The 19,702-nt window shown below is 41.1% G+C and overlaps 1 long non-coding RNA gene across 1 annotated transcript, besides 1 other annotated feature; it reads right to left on the bottom strand.

The window, feature by feature from the left end:
• Positions 1 to 583: 583 nt before the first annotated feature.
• On the bottom strand, positions 584 to 10,486 carry LOC107987110 (uncharacterized). Its single transcript, XR_001746873.2, has 3 exons — positions 9,989 to 10,486; positions 3,594 to 3,724; positions 584 to 1,088 (listed from the first exon to the last, which is right to left on the bottom strand). It is a non-coding gene; the product is annotated as an uncharacterized LOC107987110 (long non-coding RNA).
• Positions 13,507 to 13,566: an enhancer, noted in NCBI's record as "active region_28749". NCBI's record gives its function as "activates an Ori minimal core promoter by ATAC-STARR-seq in GM12878 lymphoblastoid cells {active_cell/tissue: GM12878}" and the evidence as "EXISTENCE:reporter gene assay evidence [ECO:0000049][PMID:35858748]".

Raw genomic sequence — 19,702 nt, 5'->3', positions numbered from 1 at the left:
CAGCTCAAATCCCAGGGCGAGATGATGCTGAGCAGAACTCATAGTCAGCTCTTGACATAAAGAATGGATGAGAAATAAAACTGTCATGTATTAAGTCACTGAGATTTTGGGGTTGTTTGTTACTGTAGCATAATCTAGCTGTGGCCTGACTGAAACAGCCTTTTTTTTTTTTTTTTTTAGAAAAAACTCTTTACCTTATCCCTTGATGGTTTTATAAAAGATTAAGACTTTAATTTTATCCTCTAATCAAATCTACCAGACTAAACTTGATTGATGCCCTAGCTCAGATCCCAGTTTTCTTTTCCTTTATTTTATTTTATTTTATTTTATTTTATTTTATTTTATTTTATTTTATTTTATTTTTTGAGGCAGACTCTTACTCTGTTGCCCAGGCTGGAGAGCAGTGGTGCAATCTTGGCTCACTGCAACCTTTGCCTCCCAGGTTCAAATGATTATCATGCCTCAGCCTCCCAAGTAGCTGGGATTACAGGCACCTGCCACCACACCAGGCTAATTTTTTGCATTTTTAGTAGAGACAAGGTTTTGCCATGTTGGCCAGGCTGGTCTTGAACTTCTGGCCTCAAGTGATCTTCCCGCCTCGACCTCCCAATGTGTTGGGATTACAGGTGTGAACCACCGCACCTGGCAGATCTGTTTTCTGGTTAACACGTGACAACTTCAGGGGTCATAAGAACCTTGATCTGAATGTTCTGCAAGATATCTCAAATTCACCATGCCCCAAAACAACTTATCATCTCCTTTCCCTCAATTGCTGCTGCTTCTCTATTGCCATTCAGTTAATAACACCACTTTCTCTAATTAACTCAGCATTTTAACCTTGAAAATGTGCTCCTCATGGGTGAGGTGGGGCCAGTCTTACCAGTGACAAAATTGAAAAAGCAGAAAGACCAAGCCAAAACACGAAGTCCAGGAACCAGAGCTGTATCCACTGGAGTCCTTAGGAATTGTATTTCTTAAATTCTGCCTTGTATAGAAAAATTAGCTTCTCATTTTCCTTTTCAGATCATGCAAATGGACTTCCATTGGTTTGCTGAAAGCAAATGTATTCATCTTCTCCATCTTCTCACCTAAAAAGATGAGATCATTCTTTTTAAAATGTGATCTCCTCCTCTTCGTCCTCCTCCTCCACTATAAAAAGAATACTTGCAACAACAGGATGACAGTGTGTGTCAAGCACACTGGCTTCTGCAGGCTCCATAAACTGTGGTGGACTTTCTTTGTACCACCTTCTTGTCTCCATTACATAGTTGTGGAGGAGCGGGCATCTAGCCTCTAAATGCAGCCAAGAAAGGGAAATCAAGACTGATGTTCTAATGGTGAGGTAATATCCAATCTATGGTCTCTGAACCCAGCAACTCCACCCCAGGTTCGTTATCTGTGTCTGCAGTTTTGTGGTGATTGCAGATCTGGAAAGCTGACACTCCAAATGTCACCAAGCCATTTATTTAATCATCAAACCAAGCTCATGAACCAATTGCTCCTTCCATCACCAGCAAAAAGTAAAAAAAGGAGAATGTGATGAAATCCGCCTTTGGCTACATTGCAGAAATCAAGAACATATCTGAGATTGGCTGCTACAGTTGCCAATTAGGTTATAATCAAAAGAGGAGAACAGGGAATTAAGGGTAAAGTACTATCCAAAGAATAGAAGGTCTAGGGGCACAATCCATGCTGGTCTTTTCCTTTGTTAAGGCTGCTTCTTAATATCTCTTTAGGATGAGAGCCAAGACCATTTCTTTGGTCACAGGGGCTGGATGGATATGCTATGCTTTAAGAGGCAAGCACTAGTATTTTATAGGAGTCTATGCATGAAGTCAAAGCCACAGAACCAAGTATTTTGAGGTGTGTGAGGGTGGGATTGAATCAGAGTAAATTGAGATCAAGCTGCCGTTGTTGCTATTGAGAAGATGATGCTATTCTTATTTCTAGTTATTTATGACTAGTTTTCTCTCTCCTGTCTACAGTTCTAAGCTTTAATGACAATGCAGTATTTCTGAGAATTGACATAAAGAAGGGCGTGGAGTTGGGTCAGATTTTTTGTTTATAATGTGATTTTTTGCTTAGTTTCTCCATTTAATTGTGGTACCTCAGCTGTGTCTGGTGTTCCCAAGTCTGGAATACCTATTCATCCACATCTCCAGGGAGGACATCTTTGGTGCTCTGCTGGAGTAGGGAGAGTTGGCTACCTGGCCACAAAGGGTTGATTAGGAGACCTCAGAATTTGCCTACTCCTTACAAAGATTTTTAATTGATTGTCTTGTTTTCAATTTGCCTTCAGAGGCAGCTGGCATCCTCAATTCCTGACACTTTCTGGGGATTCTGAGCTATAAATTGGTTTGCTTCTTCTGGTTGACTCCTCCTCCTGTAGCCTCATCCCTCTCTCCTCTTGGGTTGCCATGTCCAAAATTTTGTGGCTGTCTATCATCTGTGGTCATTTCCCTTTCTGTTTCCTTTGTTTTGGGGGATCCATGTTTTATTTTTATTTTTCCTGTCATTTTAGAGGGGCTTGGAAAAGGGAAAACAAACTTCTGTATTCAATCTTTCATATTTTCTGAAAGTCTATTCAGTCACTTTTTTCTGTCAATTTCTATTATGTTTTTCAGAACACTCCTGAATGTGTCTTGAACCTAGTAGGTAACACGATACAAATCAAAGCAATTATAATATCATACAGTGGCTTCCCTGACCCAAGGGAAAATGGCAGACATTAAAATTACCCTGCATAAATATTTCTGAAAACAGTAGACAATGCAGTATTTTTCCAAATTTCTTGTCCTTCATTCATGCAATATCTACCGAGCACCATGCTCAGATGTAGACACTGGGATGTGGATAAAATGATCAGCAATCTTAGAGCCTCTCCTGTGAATTTCTTTTGTGGTTTTTCATATGATACATGGTTGTTCAATCAGTAATGTAAGTAGACCTTTTGCTATAGACTGTAGTGATAGAGAGAAGTGACTGCCTTTTTATAGTGAGAAAACAGCTGGGCCATCATTGCATTGCCAGGAGAGAGAGGAAAAATTGTCGGGGGTTCCTGTTTGTCATTGGCAGGAACAGTGAGATGCTGGGGAGACGCAAATTATGCCAGAGGTGCAGGCCTCTTCTGTCACTTTCCGAGAATTGGCTGAGTTTCATCCACAAAGACTCTGATGGAGGGTCTGAAATCCCACTTTTGATCAGTCAAAGCATGGCCTTTTACACAGAACATTTCATGATGCCAACAGATAGTTTCCAGAGAGGAACTGGGAATTAAGTTGAGCTCTGGTTGCAGATGATTCTTTTTCATGCCTAGCTACCCAAACAAAGAGAGCAAGCCAGAAGCCAAATCTGCAAGTGAACATACACAATGGAATTGGTGCATGGGAATGTACAGGGCTCTGGCTGATTAAACTGCTGCCAGAGCGCCAAGGGGCAATTTCTCTAAGCCTCCCTGTCTTGTATTTTGGCAGCTCTCTCTTCCCTGCCCCCTCCGTATCCCCTTCCCCACATCCTCAAATCCATTTGCACTGTTGTTTGGAAGAATCCCAATTCACACAGATTGGCAACACTGTAATTGGTGTTTTACTTACCTCTGCCTCTTTTCTCTCTGTGTTTGATCATTCCGATAATGACAGCTTATTTTCTCTCCCGTTACCATTGGAAAACAAAAAGAAACTCTTGAAAAAGTTGTGGAGTTATATTTGAGTTTTCTGATATACTGCTATGGAAAATAAAATTCATATTTTAAAATGTTTTTCCACTTTTGTTTCCCTCTTCCTCCCCCATCCCCCGAGGAGTCAACACTCATGGGAAACATTAACGTTGAGAATTGATTTTCCCTCAGAAGGTGTTGTGACTACAGTGGCAACATCCTTGGGAGCTGACATGTCAAAATGTTTATGTTCTCATTTAAGACCTTCGTCATTGTCATCATAATTGGTGCCTCCATTTGCTAGACTCTGTTTATGCATGCGCATTTCATTTCAAGTGATATTTCTCAGGATAATATTCACAAGGGCTTGGGGCTCCTGGAGTGATAAGTGTTATGTAAACTGAAATGATTACCCCCCGGCAAAAGGTGATCTCCATTGCACACACCACCTGGCTTAACAGCTCACGTTTGCACAGTGCTTTGCAGTTAAGAAACAGTTTTTTGTGTATGTTATTTCCTGTAATCCCCCTGATAACACTGCAAGGAACACATCAGGGATGATCTGGCTCCAGGAATCACCCCATCTTGCCCTGCCACCAGGTGTGTGTGCTTCTGTACCTGGTGCACTGCTAACTATTTGCAGGTGTCACTGTGCAACTCTAAAGAAGCTGTGTCCCAGGTGGTTTCATCTCTGAGAAGAGTCAAATTTACAGAGGCACAAACAAGCAGAAAATAATTGGAGGAATTCTATTCTTTTCTCATGTCTCCTAAGAAGAAAAACCGGGCAGGTAATTACAGGATCTCTCTGGCAGTCTTGGGAAGAGGAGAAACCTGTGAATGCTGTAAAATTAATAAAATTGATTCCATCACAACTATGTAAACATTTCAGTTAAGGAGACATATAATCAGGGCAATGTCTATAATATGAATTGACTGTGTCATGTGACTCATAAATTAGCATACCATGACTTGTTATGAGCAGCTATAATGCAGTGTTAAGCTAGTGGCGAAGAATAAAAAAGCCATTTGTTTCCTGGGAGATACACAACCTTTGAACTGAGATTTTATAACAGCATTTCAAGTCAGTAAACAGTTCCTCTAGAAGAACACCCTTCTGGAAGAGAAGACCAAGAAATACTGTAGTAACTGTGGATGCAATCTGATTCCTTCAGAGGTCTTGGCTAGAAATCTAGTTCCGGAAGGAATGCCTTAAGTCAAAACTTAATAAACTCAGCTGTAGATGGCCACATAACGCTGTGAGAAAAACATGGAGTTTAGGGAAGAGACCCAAAGCACAGACCTTGGACAAGCTAGAACTGAACATGACGCCTAGATCCTTCATGTACCAGTTATGTAACTCTGGACAAACCTTGATTTCTGTGAGCCTCAGTTTCCCCATGTGAATACTCATGGGTTAACTATGCCTCCTTTACAAAATCGTTGTGAGGATTAAATGGGATAAAACGTGCAGTGTACCTAGCCTGTAGAAGCAGCTCCACAAATGGTGGCCATTCTTATCATAGTCTGACGTTATTCTCCTTCTCCATAGAATCTAAACACCTTCGGGTTAGAGCTCAGTTCAGCTCCTTCTGTTCCCTTCAAACCCCAAGTTACAAAGGCTCTCAGAAAGGCTTTAATTTGGCTATGGTTCTAACCATCATAGCCTGGCTTCCAACTCACATCCTGATGGATAAATTGGCTTGACTAGCTGAGTTTTAGAAAGGACTGTTTAAGAAGTACTCTTTTGGCTAATCACACAGCAGTTGACACTTGGTCCAGAATCTGGTTTGTGTGAATAATTGTAAATAGGAATCAACTTTTCTTTTCTTTTTTTTCTCAAAGGAAAAAAAGATTATAGCTTTATTCATTATGTATTGTAAATCACTTAAATATGTCTCACCTATGAGTTCTGAAATCGTATTTAAAGAATGTGGGGTCAATGAATGAGTTTCTGGGAATTTGAAGTGAGAATCACACCAGCCCTGCATTCTCTTTTATTTCCATTACATCCACCATCAGACAGATCCCTGATGAGATGCAACCAACCTCTAGAGGTGTCATTTGACCATCCTCCTTCTGCACATAAGTTCTCTCATATTAATAGCCTCAGAAGAAGGAGCAACAACAGACTTGTGAGTGACCCACAATATTGCTTAAAAACATTTTGTTGGAGAACAGAAAACTGAACAAAGCAACCCTGGCAAAATAAGAAATTTGTTGACCACACGAATTGGAAATTCAGGGCTACAGCTGGCTTCATGAAGATGACAGGCTATCAACCCCAATGGAAAAGAGATATTCTCTTCTAATTACTCTGGCAGAAAAGTCCTAAGGAGGATTCTAATGGGCTCCACTTATGTCACATGCCCATCTTAGAACCATTCACTATGACCAGAGGGATGGGGCATATTGATTGGTTGGCCTGGGTCACATGATGGCTCTCGAGTTGAGGATGATGAGGCAATCTTTCACAATTCCATCAGGACCATGTGAACCGGAGGAGGGTGCAGGGCAGACAAGCAACACAGACCTACTACACCCAGCCCTGTGTGGGACCTTTTCTGTTGAGAAACAGAATTTTTGTGACTAAACTGATTCCTTCTGGCTCTAATTTGATTCCTTTCCTCTGCCTGCTACTCAATATCTTTCCATGATTCTTCCTCAACAAAAGGCAACAATTAAACCCTTAATTGTTCTTGAGAAGATACATTATTTTATAGGCTGTAAAAATTTAGCATATCACTAAGTTTTCCCAGGCAGAATTTCTAAATCTTTTGTAATCTTCATAGAACTGCTAGACAGTATTTTATTTCTTTCATGGCTTTCTATAGTTCAGGATTTCAAATGGAGCTGATGTGAAGGATATAATACAGGGTATAGGTAAAAGAATTTCTGAGTCATTTGATTTGTATTCAAATCTCACTTCGACTAACTTTGCTTAGAAAAATGCTAGTAAAATGCCATATTTTTCATATATTGGGAAAAATTTAAAATAGTGGTGTCACATGTGCACATATATATTTATATATTTATATATTTTATATTATATATATTTTTATATATTTATATATTTCTTTTTCCTTGTCCTGCATTAATTCTTCTGTTCCATGGATTGATTCACATATATTGTGAACCAAGCCCTATCTGAATACACATCTACTCTTGGACTGTTCAGTTATATGAGCCAAATAACCTCCCTTTTAAATTTAAGCCCCTTTGGGTTAGTTACCTATTACTTGAAACTGAATTACAATTCATATAGTTGATACTTTCCTTTCCTTGTGAAAGTATGGGGAAAATAGGCATTCCTATATACCATTGCTGATAGAAGTATGCATTGTTACAGTATTTTTGGATTGTAATCTGTCAGACTCAAATACAGTAAAAATACAGCAAACCCTCTTTTGGAAATTTTTGTCACAGAAATAAAACTATACATGAGGTATGTCTGATAGGATGTGTTCTTTGCTATAACAAACAGAAAAACTAAATTGGCTTAAATAGTAAGAAATGTATCTCTCACCTGAAAGGAAGCCCAGAAAACAGAGTAGACGCTAAGGTTGGTTAATTCAGTGTGCCAAAATGTCATTGAGTATCCCGGCTCTTTCTCTTTTCTTTACCCTCCTTGTCATTTTTATCTTTGAGTTGGAACATGGTGTTTGAAGCAGGTGTTTTTTTTTGTTTTGTTTTGTTTTGAGACAGAGTCTTGCTCTGTTGCCCAGGTTGGAGTGGAGTGCAGTGGCGCGATCTTGGTTCACTGCAACCTCTGCCTCCAGGTTCAAGCTATTCTCCTGCCTCAGCCTCCCAAGTAGCTGAGATTACAGGCATGGGCCATCACACCCAGCTAATTTTTTGTAATTTTAGTAGAGACTGGCTTCACCGTGTTAGCCAGGATGTTCTTGATCTCCTGACCTCGTGATCTGCCCACCTTGGCCTCCCAAAGCGCTGAGATTACAGGCGTGAGCCACCGCGCCCGGCCTTGAAGCAGTTTTATGAATCATATCTCACAACTTCCATGATCAACTTCCCCTCACATTCACTGTCCAGAACTGGGTCCATTTATCATGGACATTTGTCCATTTATCACCAATCGTTAACAAAGGGATAGAATTATCCTTGGCTTTGACTGTTTATCTGGGAGTGGATGTTGAAGAGTCAGCTACAGAGGCTATCCACAAAAATATACCATGTATGTGTGTGCACACATGAATGTTTATTGTAGTTTCGTTTATAGGGGTTAAAAAAAAACAGACAAAATTTAAATGTGAATGTCCATCAGTAGCGAGATCATTGAATAAATTATGCTCTTCCCATACTGAGAAATATTTTGCAGCTATTAAAAATAGTGAGTTAGATATTCATGTATTAATTTGAAGAGATACTTGTGATGTACTCACAGGTGAATAAGCAAGTTTCAGACACCTGTCTATAGGATAATCTCATTTTCCTTGGAAGAAAGGATATAAATTTTAACCTATTTATGTACATGTGAGATGTGTATGTGTGTGTGTGTGTAAGTGTGTGTAATAGCACAGAGAAAAGTACAAATGTAAATACAACAAATTACTTACTGGCTCTCTTAGTGTTTATATACCAAACTATTAACAGTGGTTACCAGGTAATTTGAGAATTAAAACAAATATTATGACTCACACGTCATAATAATTTTTATATAAATATTGTTACTAAAAGAACTGTACTAAGGAAATGTGAAAATATCATCCCTTTAAAAGTGCAGTCTGTGAATCCTTGGCTCCTAGAACACTAGCGAATCTAATTAAGCAAAAGCATTTCCAAAATGATAAAATCTCCCAAGCATTACCAGAAACACAACATTTTACAGGATACTAGACTGAAAATTAAGCATTTGCAACATTTCTATATTCCCCAAATCTATTACAGCTCCTCAAACATAGAAGATATTTAATACATTTATTTTTTCATGAAAGCTTTCAGGTCCTGGAAAACGCTAGGATGGATATCTATTAAAAAATAAATTGCAGGCTGGGTGTGGTGGCTCATGCTGGTAATCCCAGCACTTTGGGAGGCCGAGGCAGGTGAATCACAAGGTCAGGAGATCGAGACCATTCTGTCTCTACTAAAAATACAAAACATTAGCCGGACGTGGCAGCATGTACCTGTAATCCCAGCTACGTGGGAGGCTGAGGCAGGAGAATCACTTGAACCCGGGAGGTGGAGGTTGCAGTGAGCCGAGATCATGCCACTGTACTCCAGCCTGGGCGACACAGTGAGACTCCGTCTCTAAATAAATAAATAAATTGCAAAGTCATAGACAGAACCCATCTACCTGAAAGTTTAGAGAATATTTTAGGGAATTTTTTTTTCCATATTTTTTTGAGAACCAAAAATATTTCAGTTGAAAAAGTTTAGATGATGTATTTTTTGAATGATAGATTAAATAAATATGCTAATTCATAAGCTATTACTTTTCCATTTCTGTTACACCAAAAATGGTAAAAATGATGCAATAGATTATTTTACCTGCACCATGTATGCAGTTGGATATTTACGATTCTTGTGTATGGGGAAGCTTATCAGTTCTTAAATGTTTGCTATTTAAGAATATAGTTCATCTTAGAGACACACTAGTCAACACGAGGTAGCAGAAAAAACATTCCTGTTCCTTGTTAGTTTTTAAAAACACATTTTCTTTCTTTCTTTCTCTCTCTCTCTCTCTCTCTTTCTTTCTTTCTTTCTTTTTTAGGCAGAATCTCACTCTGTTGCCCAGGCTGGAGCACAGTGGCGCAATCTCGGCTCACGGCAACCTCCGCCTCCTGGGTTCAAGTGATTCTCCTGCCTCAAACTCTTGAGTAGCTGGAATTACAGGCATGTGCCACCATACCCAGCTAATTTTTGTATTTTTAGCAGAGATGAGATTTCACCATGTTGGCCAGGCTGGTCTTGAACTCCTGACCTCAGGTGATCCACCCGCCTCAGCCTTCCAAAGTGCTGGGATTACAGGCGTGAGCCATTTTGCCCAGCAAAAACACATAATAAAAGCACCTTTTTCATCTCATGCAATCCCTGCTTTAGCCAGTAGTATGGAACAACAAAAATGACCATGCAAGCTAAAACTCTGCAGTGATTTTCATGATCAATGGGAAAAACTATGATTGTCCTGTAGCCTTTAACAAATTTTGTCATAACATTAAATCTTCTCTTACTTTCCATTCTAAATATGTAGAGTAATGAAAAAATAGTAAAGCTCACATTTATTTAGTACTCTGTAATTTAGAATGTTGGAAGTACTGAGAATTAAAGGTTTTTTGTCTGTGTAAAAAACTTATCAAAAATAGTTTGAATGGTGCTTACCTTCTTCTCATTCTATAACTTATGATAGAGCAAGCATCTTTTTCTATGCCTTGGTGAGCTGTCATATCATTTCTAAGTTTCGATTAGTTGCCAATATTGTATCCTTTGTGCCTTCTGTGTCATGAAATATCTCCGAGAGTTCCTTCAGTGAGAGGTTTGTTTTTTTTTTCCTATTGCTGGTGTCACTTCCTCTGGAGCATCTTCATCGTTTCATCACAGTCACTTTCTAACTGGTGTCAGTAAGTTCACCTTCTTTAAGCTTCCCAGGCTGCAGATACAGAGAGTGTCCACATTCCACAGTCAGCTATTTCTACGATCACTCCATTTACGCTTGGTTCAAATTTCACTCCCAGTGTTACCACTTCTCATTCTTTTGCTGTGTTTCATCTGGGCCATTTGCTTCTTATGATTACCTGTTTTTGTAAACTGTCATGTGGGTTTATCCCTGGGAGACAAGGAGACAGCACAACCCCTTGGTTTGCTGTCTGTGAGTGAACTGAATAACAGATGTGCAGTGACCGAGCCTGGACGAACTGAAAGGAGGGACGTGGTTGGCTAATGATGATGATGTACATCCATTATTTATGTAGTGATTTGTGTACTCAAGACTAAGCAGGGAAGTTTCACAGTTAATATACCGTGGAAACTGGAATTTGAACCGTGTTGCTGGGGGACTGGTGTTATTTAAACCATGGTAACTGAAATTTGTGCACACAGGAATTTGTGCAAAGCAAGGACTGCCTGAACATGTTCATTATAGAAAATTTAGAAAAGATAGATAAGCAAAAAAGGGACAACATATCAACTTTTGATCCAGGGGTTGAAAGCTTTACACCTGAGTAGGAAGAGAATCCTTACAGCAGCAGTGAACATTTGTTCTGGACAAATTTAGAAACACAATGTTAATTTTCTGCTCTTCAAGGGTTCAGGGCCAAAAAAGGAAAATCAAATTTAAAGGTTTAGACATCAGAAGGGGATCAGAAGGAGAGGCTACAGGGTACGCCCCCTGCTCCCTTGTAGTTAAGATCAAACCAAAAGAAGAAAACCTTGAGGCAAAAGTTTCATGAACTGTATATCCCTCTGAATATAAGGATTATCGTTTGTACCTAACTGAGGCTCTTCCTGTGGATTTTTAAACTTCCTCTTCTCTGTGTTGTTCAGGGAACCGGCACTGCAGCCCTGCTGAGCCTCAATCCAGGGACAATTCCTAAGCTTCCTTTTCAGGGTCTGGCACTACTCCTTCCCCAGTCTTTGTCTTGGGAATCAAGAAGCTGCTGTCATAGGCTTCATTGCTCACTTAATTGCCTATCCTAGGGCCTCAACTCACTTGACAGGGTATTTCTTCCAAGTAGTTAGGGAAGGAAAGGGACTTCTCATCAAGTGGGCCATATACTCCCTTTTAGCTTATGAAAAACTAGGCTTTTACTTTTTAAATTTTATAATTGAATGTAGAGGCTAGCTTCTTCACGACATCTTTCAGGACCCTGCCTCATCTAACACTTCTCAGGGGGGCCTATGGCATTCTATGCTTTCTGTGGGTCACATGAAATTGACTAGGATTCTTTTTTGATTTGATAAACCCAGTTAGAATGAATATACCTATTCCAGGAATTCTAATCCTCCACCAGAGAAGTTTCAATCACTTTCTTTTTCTTTTGAGACAGAGTCTCATTCTGTAGCCCAGGCTGGAGTGCGGTGGTGCGATCTCCGCTCACTGCAACCTCTGCCTCCTGCGTTCAAGCAATTCTCCTGCCTCAGCCTCCCTAGTAGGTGGGATTACAGGTGTGTGCCACCAGGCCCAGCTAATTTTTATATTTTTTAGTAGAAATAGGGTTTCACCCTGTTGGCCAGGCAGGTCTTGAACTCCTGACCTCAAGTGATCCTCCCGCCTCGACCTTCCAAAGTGCTGGGATTACAGGCATGAGCCACTATGCCCATCCCACTTTCTTTTTCATTTGGGAGGTATGTGAAAAGTCTAAGGACCAAGACAATTTGTGGAAGGCCTAGTCTTTTACTTAATGGCATCATGAAGTTAGGAGTTGGGCAAGCCAACGTTGTGCTATTCTAGAGGTAGCAATTAATTAGTAATGAATTAGATGGGGATGTGGGAGGTCATAACTAATTAGTAAGCAGTAAAGATTGGTAGTGCACCACCATATAGGATAACTTGTGTACACCACCTCACATTTTCTTGGCCACCATTTGCTTTAATTACAGATGTGACAACTAGCTTTGTGCAGGTGTATTTTGATAGTACCTCCATTCAGCTGCATCTGTTCTTATGCCCTGGAACATCACTGATATGGTGGCTACTTAGCTCTCATGCATGCAAAATCTGGAAGGGTTGAGGGATTGAAGATCAGGGGCAATCCTGACTAATAGGGAGATAAAAGCCAGTGGACAAGGGCTACCTCCATCCATTCCTTGGGCAGAAAACACTATGGCATATTCTGTGTTGTGCCATCAGGGAAGAAAGGACTAAGTGGAAGGCCCTGAAGCTGTGGGAACCCCCTCATTTGTCTTTTTGTGACTGAGATAGTAACTCAGAATCAATACCATACCCTGGGAGGAATTGCAGAGGCTAATGTCATCATTAAAGATTTAAAGGCTGTAGGGATGGTGGTCCTTATCATATTCCTATTTGATTATCTGTATGACTTTTATAAAAGCCATAGGGTTATGGCAGATGATGGCCCCAATTACAGACGCTGTGGAGAAATGTGGAGTTTTTCCCTGGGTAGATCAGCACAGCTTTCATTATTCTGGTATAATGTATGTGGTAATTAATCTGGCAAATGCATTCTCTTTAATACCCATGACTCAGGAGGCTCAAAAGTAAGTTCACATGTGGGAGGGATGCAAGTATACATTCACTACCTCGACACAGAGATGTTATCTTACTTTTTGCTGCCATAATATAGTCTACGAGAACATTGATCATTATGGCATTTCACAGAATGTCATGAGGATCCTCTACATTAGTGACATCATGCTAATTGGACCTGGTGAGTAGGAAGTGACAAGTAGTCTGGATGTTCTAATAGGACAAATGCATGCCAGAGGGCAGGAGACAACCCCATAAAGATTAAGGGGCTTTCCAAGTCAATGAATATTTTAGAAGTTCAATGGTCTGGGACTTACCAGGACATGCTTTTTGAGATAAGTGACAAGTAGTTGCACTTCGCATCCTCCTACCACTGAGAAAGAGTCATGGTGCTTGGTAAGCTGCTTAGAATTTGGAGGGAAGCCCTTGGGAGTACTGCCAGAGCAAGAGAGAGCTTTGCAGCAGGTCCAGGCTGGATATAAGCCAACGAGGTTAATGGTGCTAAAGGAGTCTGTTGTGGATAAACAAGGTGTGTGGATATTCTTGCAAACTCCAATAAGAGCATCATAATATACATCAGTAGGGTTCTGGGGCAAAGGACATGCCTTCTGCAGCAGAGAAATAGTCTCCATTTGAAGAGCACCTCCTGGCATGTTCTGGCTTCTAATAGAGAATGAGTACCTGGCTATAGGACATCAAATAATTATGAATAGATGCTACCCATCATGATCTGGGCATGATTCTGCCCTCAGAATCATAAGATCGGGGGATATAGCACCCAGGCATGGCCTTGAAGGGTGTTCCCCTAAAAGAAAGTGGTAAAGGGGAAGTGAGTAAAGCTGAGAACAGTGCAGTGGCAGTTACTTTTTATGGTGGGCGAAATGCCCTGAAGTGGCAATGTACGTAGAGTCTTGGGCAGTGGCAAATGGTTTGGGTCGTTAATCAAGGCCCTAAAAAAGGCAAGCTTGGACGATCAAAGACAAGAAGTGTAAGTAAGAGGCATGTCCATGGACCCATGAAAGTAAGCATAAAGCATTGGCTTTCTGTGTCTCATGGTAATGCCCAGTGAAGAACAGTCATCTGGAGGAGGCCGTCATCAATTGAGTTGACAGATCACTTGTCCTGCAGATTTCAGCCACCCTCTGTCTCAGCCACTCCAGCTCTGTGCAATGGGCTTATGGTGGAGTGGTTATATGGTACAAGGATGGAAGTTATACATGACTGCAATGGCGTTGGATTCCATCTCATTAAAGCTGAGGGCCCAACCTGGCAACAACAGAGACTGATATTAATGCTCTAAATGGCCCCATCACTTGAAGAGACCAAACAGGCACCTAGTAACAGTTTGATTGCATCAAACCCCTTCCACCAGTTGCAGCAATAGGGACTATAGCTTTATTCAGGAAGCTTTCCATATTAAAACCTTTGTAGAGACTGTGGTTGGCCACCACCTTGAGCTCTCTGGTGAACAGGATTTAATAATGTAGGGCATGAGTGGAGCTGAGCAGTGCAGGAGATGTACTCTGTCAGACATCTTGTGTGTACCACTTCACATCTTCACAGCTTCTCAGTGTATATTTTACTCCAGTCATTGCTGCAGCAACTAGTTTTGCACAAATATATTCTGACAGTGCCTCACTTCATCTGCATCACATTTTTCTGCCCTGGGACTTCTCAAATGCTGTGCTGTGAGATGGCTGTGGAAACCCACTCAGGCATGTGTACCTTGAAAGGGCAGGGGAGTTAAAGCCCAACAGGGCATCCCTTTTCTAATGGGGGATGAGAGCTGATAGATAAATGACGGATAAATGAGGCATATTCTACATGGCTCCTCAGAAGGTCTTAGTGGGGTCAAGCCCTAGTCACAAAGCGGTGACCAACTTGATAATGTCCTCTCACAGTGCTGTTCCCTCCTATCCTCTCTTTCCTGGATCATTTCCCAGATAAACTACTGGCACAAACGCTTGTCTTGGGCTCTACTTTTGTGGAAAAATCCAAAATCATCATAATTCCAATAAGATTCTCCAATATAATTCAAATTTCCTCAAGTCTTACCTGTATATTTAGGTACAACGGAGGCACACTGAGGGTAAAGATGAAAATTTCTTGGCTCTTGCTCCGAACTGCATGACCCTAATCTTAAGTTCTTCCTCTCTGGCTTACACGGTCAATGTCCACTGAACGCCCCTCGGCAGTTGTGCCTCAGTACTGTCACTGATGTCTTGGGTGACAATGCTGATGCCTGTGCTGAGTCTGCACTCTCCAGGTGATACCCAGGATGTAGACCCTGACTCTCTAGCTCCTACATGGCTCTGCAATCTCTTGGATTTTCTCTGTGTTGGATCCATACAGCAATAAAAGAAAATTTCCTCTCCCCTTTGGTGTTATACTTAGTTTCTGAGGCCCAATGCACGGTGTGCAACATCCTAGTGTCTCCTTTTGATTTTGCCTATGGCCCAGACAGATCAGACCTAGTTCATGGAGCTGGGCCAGGGAGCGATAGGCAACACAGATCTCAAGCTCTTCCTCCCATCTTCATCTCTCCCAGACACTTCTCAAGCCTTCTCTACTAGCTTCCTTCCAAATAGTCCCAAAATGCAGATAGCCCCTTCCTCAATGGTTATTCCATTAGGGCTTTTCCCTTTGTTTGACTTGTCAGAAAGGCCTGGGACACAGCAGTGGGTGCATCTCAGGAACACATGGAGTCTCTCCACATTTTCCTCTACAATATTACCCTGAGAAAGTCTACTTCATAACTTAAATGTTAATGTTTATATGGAGTGGAATGCCAACAAAAGCCTTCTTGTTGTAGACTGTGATTTCAAATATGACCTGTGGATTTCCAGTCCTCACCAGCCTTTGACTACCAAATAAGGTCATATTTCCTTTTACAATCTAGAGTAATATGGCCCTGAGCCCCCATCCTTTGAACACCCTTCCTCTGTTGAGTTTTCCTCCACAATTGAATTCTGGGAATCCAGGGATCGTTCCCATGCCCCACACACCTGTGCTGTTGGGCATGTTTATCAACCATTCATTCCCCAAGTTATCTGCTTCTCCAGCATCCTTCACTCTCCACACATATCTGCGAGTGAGGAAGGGGCCTATGAACTGAATATAATCAATTTGATAATCACAGCTCTTAGGTTTTATTATTTTTTTTTAAGATAACACAAACCACCCAAAGTTTGAGGGGGGGGGTAACAGTTTGCCATTCCCACACAACCTCACTACTGGGTTACAATGAAAGCAATTCTCAGACCAAATTCTGCTACACAAGCAGGCATTTGCTAAACACACATTCACTAGAAAGTGAGCACAAAATGGCTCATATGACCTATTCTGGAGGCTTGATGAAGTCATAGCCCCTGTCTGGCCTTTTACATGCTCTGATGAACACCTCGCGTGAACTTCTGTTCACTGGAGACAAAAGCCAATACTTCAGAGGCAGGATTCTGTTACCCTTATAGTCAACATCAGATAGCAAGGATATTCCACATCGATGGCTACACACCGATGGCTGCACATAGAGCCTTTTAGCAATCAAGTCTCCCAGAGTAGTAGGCTACCAGATTCCCTGGATTCTAATACTCTGATTAGATGGGGGTAGAGATATTTTAGCCAGTCCACACATTAAGAATTCTTCTAATGTTACCAACAAAAGATCATTTCTGAAATTGGTTAAGTGAATCAATAGAACACGATGTTGCATAACCCCCTTCCTTTTTTTTTTTTTTTTGAGACAGAGTCTCGCTCTGTCACCAGGCTGGAGTGCAATAGCGTGATCTCGGCTCACTGCAACCTCCACCTCCTGGGTTCAAATGATTCTACTGCCTCAGCCTCCTGAGTAGCTGGGACTACAGGTGCGTGCCACCACGCCCAGCTAATTTTTGTATTTTTAGTAGAGACGGGGTTTCACCGTGTTGGCCGGGGTGGTGTCGATCTCTTGACCTCATGATCTGCCCACCTTGGCCTCCCAAAGTGCTGGGATTACAGGTGTGAGCCACCACACCCGGCCAATAAAAACCCATTTTTGATATTCAGTGTGTAAGTTATTCAATGGTGAAGCTTTGACTATTGATTGAGATGCAGACAACAGAAGCACTGGTGGGCGGACTCAAGGTGAAAGTGCCAGCTGACCACCCCTGGCCGCTCCTAATTAAAGCTGCAACTAACTGGCACATATGTAGTATCTCACTGTCTATGTTGAAGTATTTTATAGTACCTTGCTGTCATCACTACAGGTCCTCAAACCTTAAAGTCTAAGGCCCCAAACCTCCTGGACTCCACAGACTGGAGAAGGTGCTCCTCTGCTCAGTGGAAGGCTTACTCATTTCTTAACCACTCCCCTTCACAGAATGTGGTTGACCACTGGATCCAGATAAAGCAATCACAATAGTTCAGTGTTTTACAAACTACAAATTACGAACCATTAACAGGTTGTAGTATCAATTAAATGGGACATGACCAACATTAAAAACAATGAAATAGGAATATATAGACATAGCAGAAAGCATTACATATAATAAAGATAAGTATTGCTTAATGAAATTTTGTTACTGTTAAGATATTTGTTGCGTGTGTTTACTGGAATACAATGTAAAATGTAAAATATCTTTTAAAAAGTCTTTAAAAACTGTGCTTCAAAAAAAGTTGAAAGTACCCAAATTGTTGAAAGTACATTCCACAAGGTTGTTATCATTTACTCTTCAAATACCACTTAAATACCAATGCCCTAGATTCACATTTGGGCAAAACATTTCTCCCCCTCTTCAAGGGCATGGTCCTGGCTAAAGATACGTACTTACATCACTGGCCAAAAGAGTTGGCATCTTAATCTGCACCATCAGCATTCAGATTTATGGTGACTTCACTGCTGTCGCCAAGGACAAGAAATGGGTACTTGCTTTATACTTATGTAACTATGTGATCAATCTTGGTAATTTTCCAAAAATAAGTTCATTCCAAAGAGCCTGAGAGCCTCTCAGCCTCCCCACACTAAAAAACTCTGAGCAACATCCCAATGGCCATTTCAGTAAAAAACAAACAAACAAAAAAGAAAGAAATCCTGTCTTTACCAGGTACCAGCATCATGCCTCACAAATAGTCTGTATTCTGAATACATATCCTAAACCAGATTTTTTTTATATCAAATAAATTGGAGAGAATGGTTGACACTTTTCTGACAATTGCACTGACTCCTTCTTTGCTTAAAAATGGTGGCTTGTGTAGAGAGAAAAATCTGTAATGCATAACCAAGTTCCCTAGTTTGGTCAAGTGTTTTTAAGAACTCTTATTGAAAGGGAGCACTAGCCCAGAAGTAGTTCTTAACTTCCGACAGCATTTTTATTAGCCAAGTCATCAATGCTACAAAGTCCTACATAAGAATTGACAATGGAATTTGCTGGGATGAATATATCTACACGATATTTTAAACTTAAATCTAGTTTTCTTAAATCTAGTTTTTGCTTAGTAATATGAATAAAAATTTGTGGTATTGACTGCTAACACACAAACACGCATTTTAATTTTATTTATTTATTTATTTTTGAGACAGAGTCTCACTGTGTTGCCCAGGCTGGAGTGCAATGGCGTGATCTCGGCTCACTGCGACCTCTGCCTCCCAGGTTCAAATGATTCTTCTACCTCAGCCTCCTGAGTGGCTGGGACTACAGGCACCCACCATCACGCCTGGCTAATTTTTTCATTTTTAGTAGAGACAGGGTTTTGCCATGTTGGACAGGCTGGTCTCGAACTCCTGACCTCAGGTGATCTGCCCACCTCGGCCTCCCAAAGTGCTGGGATTACAGGCATGAGCCACCGCACCCGGCCACACATGCATTTTAAAAAACAATTTAAGAACATCATGTGTTGAGAGTGATGAATGAAAAGCCAGTTTGTTCTACTAGTGGGACATTTCAATGGAAGGATACACAGTTGGTTTAGCTGAGGGGAGAAAGTGCTTAACCACGAGTGGAAACTATTGAAAGGAGCTCACTAAAGATGGTGCATAGTAAGATCATTCTCAGAAACCAGAGGGAAAGGAATTTGTGATGCCTGGGGCAGAAATCTAGGAGAAAAGTGATTTGGAGGGGCCTGGATTGGGTGTATGCAACGGCACTTGTTGAAGAGAAGCAGAAATAACACAACTTGTGATGTGGAAGCCTGTGAACCAGGGTTACAGGAAATGACTCAGAGGGTAATGGTGTTGACTCATGTAAAGTACCAGAACCAAGGAAAGGGCTTGAACACACTAATGAACCACATCGTTCTTGGGGCAGCCACTAGAAGGTGAGAGCCCTCGCTTAACGCATCCATGCAGCGTGAGAAATAACCTATTGAAAAAGCCCTGTCTCCTATTCTAGCAAACAAAATAGCCCAATTCTTCCAAAAGACCTCATAGCTAGCATTTCTTTTTCTTTTTTTGTTAAGAATTACGAAACCGTAAGAAATATTTGCCTTTCATAGTTTGCATTTTTGATGTACACTCATAAAAAAAGGGGTGTTCCCAAATGAAGCACATTTTAGTTTAACATACAGTATGTAGCATATCATGCAATGTATAGTGAGCCTGCTAAGTTTATCTTTGGACACATGTGATCCACCCGCATTGTGTTGGATGCTGAGTGAAGGTGAGTAGGGCAGAGGGCACAGGAAGGAACTTCAGAGAACTAGGGCTGTGTAAGAGATACTCTAATGCAGAGGCGGAGGGCAGCCCACAGCTTCACATTCCAGCTCTACACTTTCCACCTGGGCCGTAGCTTCATTTGCTGGAGATCTAGGGCAGGGATACCCGGAGTTTGATTATTTAAATTGGTTGGATGGTGCTGGCCCCAAATCCCTATTTGATTTCTCAGATCTCTGCTAGTTCTACATAGGATGCGTGGAGA

The sequence above is a fragment of the Homo sapiens genome, chromosome 9, assembly GCF_000001405.40.
Source record: "Homo sapiens chromosome 9, GRCh38.p14 Primary Assembly".
Lineage (NCBI taxonomy): Eukaryota > Metazoa > Chordata > Mammalia > Primates > Hominidae > Homo > Homo sapiens.
The sequence above is the reverse complement of the archived record's forward strand: the minus strand, read 5'-3'. Positions and strand labels throughout refer to the sequence as shown.